The sequence below is a fragment of the Homo sapiens genome, chromosome 9, assembly GCF_000001405.40.
Source record: "Homo sapiens chromosome 9, GRCh38.p14 Primary Assembly".
In the NCBI taxonomy this organism is placed as follows: Eukaryota; Metazoa; Chordata; class Mammalia; order Primates; family Hominidae; genus Homo; species Homo sapiens.
In genome coordinates, this window is record NC_000009.12 from 63,859,756 (window position 1) to 63,871,747 (window position 11,992).

Consider the following 11,992-nt stretch of genomic DNA (forward strand, 5'->3'; position numbering starts at 1 on the left):
AGCCCCTGAGGATTCGTGCCTCCCAGAGGTGGGGAAAGCCCGCCCGAGGCTTCGGTGCTGACGGTGGCGGGGCTGCCGGGCACGCTGTGGAACCGCCTCCCGCTAGAGCTGTGGGCTGGTGACGGTCCCGCGGGGGCGGGAAGCGGCTCAGGCTGCCCTCCTGGCCTGCGGCAGTGCGTCTGGGAGCGCGGGCCACTCGTGCGCGGGTCACTCGGGGCTGTGCCTCGCGCGACTGTGTGTGCAGGAAACAAGCAGGAAATACCCTAAAATGGAATGAAGCGCCATGTTGAGGGCCGCGGACGTCGCGAGTGCTGTGGGAATGTGGGCCAAGGTGGAGAGTTATGGTGGCGCGTGTTACAGGGTCAGGAGTCAGGAAGAAGCCTAATCATGGAGCCGGCATCTGAGGAGGGTCTTGAACGCTGGGCAGGCTTTTGCCCAATAGAGATGGAGGAAGCTAGTCCTGTCTGATGGAGGAAACAGGGCAGAGGCGTGGAGGGAGACGCGCAGTGCTGGTGTGAGGAGCCGCGAGCAGGCCAGGCCTGTAAATCAGCGTGATGGGAACCAGGATAGAGAAGGCAAGTCGGGGTCCTGTGGTCGCTGAAGAATTTGAATGAAATCAGTAAACAGGTGAGAGGGATCCATCGCAAGATCATGGGATGAAACAAGCAGTAGTCCACGGTGATTCCTCTGCAGCGGTGGGTATTATTAATCGCGTATGTGACACCAAAACGGTGGGTATTATTGATAGCGTATGTGACACCAAAACCACCCAATTTAAGCTGTGACTCTTTCCCTAAAGTAGAAAACAGAGATCAGTTGGGTTCCAAGCATCCACGAAGATCTTATTAAATTCGTGATCCCTGGTGGCACCATGGAGTCAGGATTGGCTCATCTCAAACCTGACTCAGAAACAAAACCATCTCAATGGGCGGAGATGAGCATCCTTACCCGCTATCATAACGTATTTTCTGGTGTTTTCACAGTGCTGCGCTTCCTAATCACCATTCTAGGGCAATCCACATGCCATGATGCCCAGAGGCATTAACAAAGGAGACACACAGGGGCTCCTCACGTTGGCTTTCCATGGTTTTGATGAAAATCTGTTTCCTCATCTCATACAATGTGGTTCGTAATAGTATCATTTAGGGTTGAAGAATTAAATGGTACAAATTATATAGGGTGCTTATGATAACCTACATGGAAAATGCCTAGGATATGTTAGCTATGCTCATCACCAACATCGTTATATGATGGTAATAATCAGATAGTCAGGAAGGCCGACACCAAGAAAATGGATACATGCTCTGAGGGAATGAATGTGGAGAGATCAGAAGGTCAAGAACAAAGCCGTACAACATGTCTGCAGTAAAGGGATAGAGAAAAGAAAGGCTATAAAAGAAGGAATGAAACAGTTAGAGTAAAATTATAAAATCAAAGCTAAGGAGAATTTCCAGAAAGGGTAATATCATTTAATATCATAGAAGTTTAGGAACACAAGATGGAAAAAAGGCCTCTGGGTAACTGACATTGAGGCAGTCTTTAGGGAAGCTCCATTTCCGATAGAGAAGTAGACACAAAGTCAGCTTGAAGCAGGGACTAGGTGAAGAAGCTGTTGGCTGGTCGCATGGGGAAATAAATAAGGGATGGCATATGCCATATTTCTGGATTTCTTTCTTTCTTGCCCAGCCTCTATATATGCATAGAGTTTGGTGAAAACTTACAAAAAATAAAAATGAAACCAATTTTGTTTGTTGACTCAAATACAATGCTTTGTGTTAGAATCAAGATAAATTCATGCCTCTCCCTTCTATTGTCACCGTCAGTTTTGAAATTAAACATCAGCTTTTCTTCTTCATTAAAATCATTTTCAACTCCTCCCAGGTGTTGGTGGTTTGGGGGAGTTACATAAGCAGTCAGGTCTTGATGAGTAGAGGAGGAGGGAACAAACACTTTCAGCAAAGGCAGAATTCTGAAATTCTGCTCGTATTTTTCTCCAGTAACTTTCCTATGTTTGTGAGGTTATTCAGTCATAATGATCCTAGTGAAATTTTTTTCAAGCTTGACTAATCGTAATCACTGTGGACATTTGTTTAAAATGTGTATTCCCAGGCCTCTCTCCTGCTGATTCTGATTCAGGAGATCACGGATGGGACTCAGAATACATGTGTTTGACAAATACCACAAGTGGTTCTTATGGTCAGGGAAATTTGGGGCTCTAACCAGAAATTCATGTTTTTATGACTGGCAGCTGGAAAAGATTCCTAGAGTCTTTGCTTTTTGAAAATAAAATATTTCTTTTTTAAAAGCAAAATTGTATGACTAGATACAACATTTATACATGTGGCACATGTACTATACTGTGTGCTTTTGTCATATTTACAGTTGAAGATGTGTAAGAACACTCTGAGAAAAATTATCTATTAAATGCAAAGAGGGGTAAGTCAGGGTGGGGGAGAAATGGGAAGGGTGTGCTTATTGTTGCTAAAAGTTAGAAAAGCCAGAATGATAGCATCTAAGGTTGCAAATAGCACGTTGTAAGTTGAGGGAGCTTCATAATCATGTCTGAAACCTTCTTTGATATACTGAGTTGTAAACAGTGGCTTTGGACAAGATTTGAGGGAGAAACCAACTATGCTTTAAAGTGTTCATTTAAAAGGCTTTAATTAAAGGAAAGTCTTTATATTTACTTGAGCTAATTTAACTTCAGGACTTTAACAAATTACTAGCCCTTAACCTCTTAAAAATTGTCTTTCATTTCAAATGAAAGTTTAAGGTGGCTTTTATGTTCGATTGGTATACTTATGCGAAGACTTAACAGCAAGGTACTGTACATTTCTAAATGTTTACTTCTTAATTTTGCTGGAAGAAATATACTACTCAATTGATTATTTTTAAAGCAAAGTAAAACAATTTATTTTGACAAGCGACACTGTATTTTCCCAGTTTTCTGGTGGCAAAGATTAGGCTTAACATCACTAATCATCAGAGAAATGCAAATCAAAACCAAAAGGAGATACCATCCTACACCAGTCAGAATAGCTACTATTAAAAAATCAAAAAACAGCAGCTCTTGGGAGGCTGTGGAGAAAAGGGAACATTTACACATAATTGGTGCGAATGTAAATTAGTTCAACCACTGTAGAAAGCGGTTTGGAAATTTCTCAGAGAATTTAAAATAGAAATTCCTTTCAAGCCAACAACTCCATTACTGGTATATGACCCAAAGAAAGTCAGTTATTCTACCAAAAGGAGATATGCACTTGCATGTTCATCGCAACACTATTCACAATAGCAAAGACATGGAGTCAGCCTAGGTGCCCATCAACAGTGGATTGGATCAATAAAATGTGGTGCATCCACACAGTATTATTAGGCCATTCTTGCATTGCTATGAAGAAATACCTGAGACTGGGTAATTTGTAAGGAAAAGAGATTTAATTGGCTCATAGCTCTGCAGGCTGTACGGGAAGCATGGTGACGGCATCTGCCTGGCGCCTGTGGAGTCTCCAGGGAGCATTTACTCATGATGGAAGGCCAAGAGGGAGTAGGTACATCACATGGCCAGAGCAGGAGCAAGAGAGAATGGGAGTGGGGGTAAGTACCACACACCCTTACACAACCAGATCTTGAAAGAATTCACTATCACAAGGACGCATCAGGCCATGAGAGATCCACCCCCATGACCCAAACACCTCCTACCAGGCCCCACCTCCAACACTGAGGATTACATTTCACCATGAAATTTATAGGGGCCACCTTCCAAACCATTTCACACACCATGGAATACTATGCAGCCATAAAAATAACAAAATCATGTCCTTTGAAGCAACTTGGATGCAGCTGAAGGCCATTATCCTAAGCAAATTAATGCAGGAATACAAAATGAAATACCACAAGATCTCACCTATAAGTGGGAGCTAAACACTGGGTACTCATGGACATAAAGATGGAAAGAATAAACACCGGGACTACTAGAGGGGAGAAGGAGGAAGGCAAGGTTTGACAAACTATTAGGTACTATGCTCATGTATTAATCTGTTCTCACACTGCTATATAGAACTACCTGAGGCTGGGTAATTTATAAAGAAAAGAGGTTTAACTGACTCACAGTTCCACAGGCTGTACAGGAAGCATGGCTGGGAGGCTTCAGGAAACTTATAATCTTGGCAGAAGGTGAAGGGGGAAGCAAGGCACATTCTACCATGGTGGCAGGAGAGCAAGAGAGCCAGGGGGGATGTGCCATATGTTTAAACCATCAGATCTCATGAGAACTCACTTACCACCTAAGAACAGCAAGGGGGAAATCTGCCCTCATGAGCTAATCACCTCCCACCAAGTCATTCCCCCTACTTTGGGAATTACAATTCAACATGAGATTTTTATGGTGACACAGAGTCAAACCATACCAAATCAGCATCTGGATGATGGGATCATTCATACCCCAAAATTCAGCAATATGGGATATACCCATGTAACAAACTGGCACATGTACCCCTGAATGTAAAATACAAGTTAAAATTATTTTCAAAATAAATTAATTAATGAATAAATAAATATGATTAAATGAAATTAAAATTTTGAATTAAAAAATTTGAGAGTGATTTCAGCTTGACAGTTATGTAAGTTATGTAAATTGAAACAGTGAGTTCTGTAGGGTTTGGATCAATTGCATTATCTGTACTAAGTTGATGACCAGTTGTTTGGATGAAAAGAAAAGAGGTGAAACATATAGATCTAACAGGAAAAAAATGGACCAGTTTTTATGATAGCAAAAAGAAGAATGGAGGAAATAGGACTGAGGTTATAGTGATTGATAGATATTAATAGATGACTAAGTCAAAAGCCATTGGTTGCAGAAAATATTGATTAATTTTGTTTTATTCCAGTCAGACAAAAAAATCCTATAACCTGCCTCTAGAGAAAACCCTTTTAGCCCTATAATTATCTTTATTCCAAGCACCATTCCATTCATTAAGTAGTGTATAGGGTGATTAATAAGTCAATTATTCACAGAATTAAGACAAAATTTTTGAGTATTACAGGATATTAATAGTATAGCCAATGAACTAAAATAAAATTTGACTAGAGGTGTGATCACCATGAATGCCATGTTGGTCTCTTGTTAGATTTGGCAACCTAAAGTTGACAAATTTATTAATAAATAAACATTCCTTGATGATTAATTTACATTTAGTAGACATGCTCTTTCTTCTTCCTTCCCTTTCTTATTCATTCATTCATTCATTCATTCCTACAGAGCAGTGACTTTCATTTGAAGATTCCCAGAATCCTAAGGAATTCTTGAATGTCATCATAGGGAGCCAGGTGTGAGGATTCCTAAAAGTTGTACTTAATACTTGAAAAATCTCGAAAAGTTATATATTTACACCAGAAAAATCTATACAGGTTTTAAGTTATATGTATATAGTTGAATACTTTTTATTTCTATCCAGTACTAAGTCATTAGAGTTAATAATGTTGATTATTTCATACTGACCTAATGGGTAGCCTTTATATATCATTGATTACTTATTAGTAAAATAAACCCCCCCCCAAAATTACAAAATAAATATATTTTGTGGGTTTTTCTTAAGGCTTTTGAAACATAAAATCAGACGAGAGGATTAAAAGTAATCCTTGATTATTAGAAAAGCAAGGAACTACTAACTTAGAAAATTGTATGAAAACAGCAAGATATATACATGGCCTTCAGGCCAGCTGCCTGTTTTAATAAAGTTTTATTGGAGCACATCCATGGATCTATGGTGCTTTCCTGCTACAATGGTAGAGTTGAATGGTTGCTATAGAGAACGTATGGTTTGCAAAGCCTAAAATATTTTTCATCTGGTCCTTTATAGCAAAAGTGAACCCAGTTTTAGAACATTCACTTTACAAATTAAGATACAGTGGATGTTGCCTTAACTGACCTCCACTTAACTGATTTACAATCAGCACTTTCTTGTACCCCTGTACAACTTATTGACTGATGTCCACTGCAAATGGAAAGCCTTTGAGCTGCTTTTAATGCCTGTACATTTCTCCTTCCATCACAGAAATTGTACAGTTTCTAAGAGGAAGCTGTGTTCATTCCTAAATATGTTTACGCCATTTGTTCTTGTTCTTGTAGTTATGCAATTTAATTAAATATGATGTTGAGAGGCTGAGACGGGCGGATCACTAGGTCAGGAGATCGAGACCATCCTGGCTAACTCGGTGAAACCCCGTCTCTACTGAAAATACAAAAAAAATAGCTGTGCGTGGTGGCGGGTGCCTGTACTCCCAGCTACTGGGGAGGCTGAGGCAGGAGAATGGCAAGAACCCGGGAGGTGGAGCTTGCAGTGAGCAGACATCGCACTACTGCACTCCAGCCTGGGTGACAGAGCGAGACTCCGTCTCAAAATAAATAAATAAATAAATAAATATTACGTAAACTGAGAAAATGAGTATAACAAGAGTAGTATTGTTGTTTCTCTGATAAATAAACTAAATATGTTGGAAAAATGAGAAACTCAACAGTTGCTGTCAGCTTAACTGTTGGCAAGACAACTAGAAACAAATGGGAAAAATTGTGTAATCTAGGATTTCAGATTGCTTTACCCCAGTTGTCTTCACAGAAAGTGAACAAGAAATCAATGACAACATATCATTGGCATAGTTTCCACAAGAAACTCCACTCTGAATCCGTGCAAGGGTTTGACCTTGTCATCAAAATTCTGGCAAATTTATTTACACATGTCTTTTAAATTAAAGTTAAGTTTTAAGGACTTACATCTAATACTTCTTATGATTCCTCCAGCTAACTTAAATTTGTGATTAATCTGTTTATTACTGGTCCCAATCTGATTGAATAAGGGGGTTTCTACCGTTTTTGCTAACCAAAAGTTTACTTTGATGAAGATGGAATTATAAATACAATAATTCAAGTTTAAATAATTAGAATGGTAATGGGTAATACAATTTAGTATGCCTAAAAATCACTTGAAAAGCTTACTAACAATGTAAATTCTCGTGCCTTAGGCCTGAGATTTTGATTCAATAGGTCTAGCATGGGGCATAGGAATCTGTATTTTTAGGAATGATAAAGGAAAATTGCTTAAAATAGGGTAAATTATAACTTACAAATATAAAATGAACACTTGTCTAGGATTTTCGTTTAATGAAGGAGCCAGTAAGATGTTATACTGAGTTTTACGGAAAATTAAAAGAGCCACACATATCTAGGCACTAAGGAACACTGAAATAAATTTGCTTGATAGGTTCAAAACTGAATTCTTGATGGAAGGTGGGAAAAGGAAAATTAATTATACTTCCACCAAAATCAATCATTTGCCTGTCTATAAACATGAATATTTGCATTACTATCAGTAATCTACAACTAACAGAATTGCAAATAACAAAGAAAACAAAAGGCACAGAGACCCCATAGAAACAGATAACTCAGGTTATTCTAGACAAGGCTGAGATTTCCATTAAAGACACTCAGTGGTAATTTCGTTGGTCCATCTTAAAATCTTTCCATTTTCTCCTGAAACAAATTGCTCAAGCAATTCAAATACAATGAATGTGGTCAGTGGGTCACACCTGGAAAAATCATTTTCTAACCTGTAATCAAGACTGAATTACTCCCTTCACTGGAAAGAATAAAATATTACCACATAAATTCATATTATGATAATGGCCCACTATGAATGCTTTGGTGTTCTTAATTTTCTTAAGATTTATTAATATTTCTGAAGTAACTACTAAATGCCAAGCAATATATTTTCTAATTTAATCTTTCATTGACTTTTACTTTCACTTCAATTGAGCTACTCACTTTCATGGCTATAAACTTAACTTTTCAATCACTTAAAAATTGATTTCTAATGTTATAAACTTTAATGTCCCACTCTGTGACCTGCTCTTTCAGACTCTCTCTTCCTTACTGCCAATTCACCTTCTCTTCTATCTCTTCCAGTGCCTCAGTATCTTGACTCTTCCATTTTCTTTTTTCTTTGCTTTTATTAAGTGGATACATGATAATTTCACATGTTGATGGGGTACAATGTGGTATTTTGATACATGATGCATTGTTAAAACCTCTCCTCCCTATCTTTCCCAGTCTGGCAACCACTCTTCTACTCTTTATTAGATCAGTGTTTCTGGTAACCACTCTTCTACTCTTTATTAGATCAGTGTTTTTAGATTTCACATATAAATGAGATCATGTGATATTTGTCTTACCGTGGTTAGCTTATTTCACTTACCACAATGTCGTCTATGCTCATTCATGTTGTCACAAGTGACACGATTTTACCCTTTATTATGGCCAAATGTGCATATGATATAGTTTGGATATTTGTCCTGACCCATATCTCATGTTATATTGTAATCCCCACTGTTAGAGATGGGGCCTGGTAGGGGGTGTTTGGGTCATGGAGGTGGATCCCTCATGGCTTGGTGCTATCCTCATGATAGTGAACGAGTTCCCAAGCTTCCTGACTAGTCAAGCAGATGTTGGCATTATGCTCCCTGTACAGCCCATGGAGCCAGGAGCCAATTATGTCTCTCTTCTTATAAATTATCCAATCTCAGGTATTTCTTTATTTTTGCAATGCAAGAATGACCAAATACAGCATATATGCCACATTTTCTTTCTCCATTCATTCATTGATGGACACTTAGGTTGATTCTAGGCTATTGTGAATAGTGCTGTAATAAACATGAGAGTCCAGAAATCTCTTTGACATACTGATTTAATATTCTTTGAATATATACCCAGTAGTGGGATTGCTGGATTATGTGATAAGTCTATTTTTAATGTTTTTGGAAGTTATATTGTATTCCATAACAATTGCTCTAATTTACATTTCCACCAACAGTGTATGAACATTCCCCTTTCTTCACATCCTTGCCAGCATTTGTTATTTTTTGACTTTTTCATAAAAAGCATTCTAAGCAGGGTGAGATGATATCTCACTGTGGATTTGGCTTGCATTTCTCTGATTATTAGTGATGGTGAGCATTTTTTCATATACCTGTTGGTGATTTTTTTGTCTTATTTGGAGAAATGTCTATTCAGCTATCTTGACTGTTTTCTAATCCAATTATTTGTATTTTTGCTATTGAGTTGTTTGAGTTTTCTATAAATTTGGGGTATTAACCCCTTATGAAGTGAATAGTTTGCAGATATTTTCTCCCATTTTGTAGGTTGTCTCTTCACTCTCATGATTGTGTCCTATGCAGTGCAGAAGTTTTTATTTGGTGTTATCCCATTTGTTTACTTTTGCTTTTGTTGTGCATGTCTTTTGATGTCTTTTCTAAAAAGTCCTTGCCCAGACCAATGACATATAACATTTCACCTATGTTTTCTTCTACTAGTTTCATAGTTTGGGGGCCTTACATTTAAATATTTAATTTATTTTGAGTTGATTTTTTTATATGATGAGAGATAGGGGTCTACTTTCATTCTTTTGTATGTGGATATGCACTTTTCCCTGAACCATTTGTTGAAAAGACTGTCTTTTCCCAATTGAATGTTTGCACCTTTGTCTAAAATAAGTTGCATGTAAATATGTGCATTTATGCCTGAGCTCTCTATTTTTGTTCCACTGGTCTACATGTCTGTTTTTATGCCAATACCATGCTGTTTTAGTTAGGATAGCTTTGTAATATATTTTGAAATTAGATAGTGTAATACCTCTAGCATTGCTCTTTTTGCTTAAGATTTATTTGGCTATTTGGGGTGTTTTGTAGTTTCACATGGATTTTAAGATATTTTTTAATATCTGTGAAGAATGAAGTTGGAAATTTGATAGAGATTATATTGGATTTATAGATTGATTTGAGTAGTATGGTCATTTCAACAATATTAATTCTTCTAGTCCATGAACATGGGATATCTTTCTATTTATTTTAATTCTTTAAATTGTTTTTATCAATGTTTAATAATTTTCATCTTTCTGTGGCTTAATTTACTTATAGGTATTTTGGTTTTTTATAGCTATTTTAAATGGGATTATTTTCTTGATTCCTTTTTCAGATAGTCTGCTATTGTTGTAGAGATGTTACTGATTTTTTATGTAGCTTTTGTATCCTGAAACCTTATTATATTCACTTACTATTTCTGATTCTCAGTGGTGTACTTAGGGTTTTTTACATATGTGATCATGTCATCTGCAAAGAGGGACAATTTGACTTTTTTTTCCAATTTGGATGCCTTTTATTTCTTTCTCTTACATAATTGTTATGACTAGGACTTCCAGTACTATGTTGAAAAAAGTGATTAAAGTGAACATCCTTGTCTTGTTCCAGATCCTAGAGGCAAAGCTTTCAAGTTTTCACCATTCAGTATAATGTTGCCTGTGGGTTATCACATATGGTCTTTATTTTATTATGTTCTTTTATAACTAATTTGTTAAAAGGTTTGATCATAAAAGGATGTCTAATTTTGTCAAATGCTTTTTTCTGCATCTATTGAAATTATTATATGCTTTTTATCCTTCTTTGTTTAATGTGATGTATCACATTTTATTGATTTACATGTATTAGACTATCCTTACCTCCCCGGGTAAATACCACTTGATTATGGTGAATAATCTTTTTAATGTGCTTTTGAATTATCATTGCTAGAACTGCTGGTTTTGAATGTTTGCATCTATGTTTATCAATGATATTGGCCTGGAGTTTACAAAGAGTTCCCTCCTTTTCATTTTTTTGAAATAGTTTGTAAATAATTTGTATAAGTTTTTAAAATGTTTTGTAGAATTTGTCAGCAAAAACCACCAAGTCATGAATTTTTCTTTCTTCCTCTATTTTTTTAGAGACAGGGTCTCACTCTATCACTGAGGCTGGCATACAGTGGTGCAGTCATAGCTGACTGCAGCCTCAAACTCCTGGTCTTAAGTGATCCTCCTGCCTCAGCCTCCTGAGTAAAAGTACATACCACTATACCTGGGGAATTTTTATTTTTATTTTTAGAGATGCAGTCTCATTGTGTTGCCCAGGCTAATCTTGAACTCCTGGCCTCTAGTGATTCTCCTGCCTTGGGCTCCTAAACTGTGAGATTACAGATGTGAGCTACTGTGTAAAGTCTTTTGGATTTTTCTTGACTGAGAGCCTAAATCACTCCTTCAATCTAATAATTTTCATTGGTGTGTTCACATTTTCTACTTCTTCTTTCTTCAATTTTGATGGGTTATATGTGTCCAGAGCATACGTATTTCTTCTAAGTTTTTCAATTTATTGACATATAATTGTTTGTAGTACTTACGATTCCTTATATTTCTCTAGAGTCTATCATAGTATATCCTTTTTCATCTCTGATTTTATGTGAATTTTCTCTTTTTTTCTTAGTCTGACAAAACATTTGTCAATTTTACCTTTTCAAAGAAGATTCCTTCATTTAATGACTCATTTGTATTTTTTTGTCTTCATTTTGTATATTTGTGCTCTGATCTTTATATTCTTTTGCTAATTTGGGTCTTAGTTTGTTCTTGATTTTATAGTTCCTTGAAATACATTGTTAGATGCTTTATTCATTATCTTTCTTCTTTATTGATGTCAAAATGTATTGCTATAAACTTCCCTCTAAGAACTGTTTTGCTGTATTTCATAAGTTTTCATATGTTCTGATTTCATTTTTATTTGTCTTAAGATGTTTTAAAATTAAATTTTTTTCATTGACCCTTTGGTTGTTTAGGGATATGTTGTTTAATTTGTATGTATTTGAACAATTTCTGAAGTTCCTTCTGTTGTTTATGTCTAGCTTTATTCCATATGGTCAAAAAAAACAAGTGATATGATTTGATTTTTTGATTAGCTAAGACTTGTTTTGTGCTCTAACATATCTATCATGGACAATATTCCATATGCAGGTGAAAAGACAGTGAATTATGCAATTGTTGGATGAAATGTTATGTAAATAACTGTTAAATTCTTTTGATCTAGAGTGCAGTTTAAATGTTTCTTTGTTGACATTCTCTCTCAATGATCTGTTCATTGCTGAAAATGG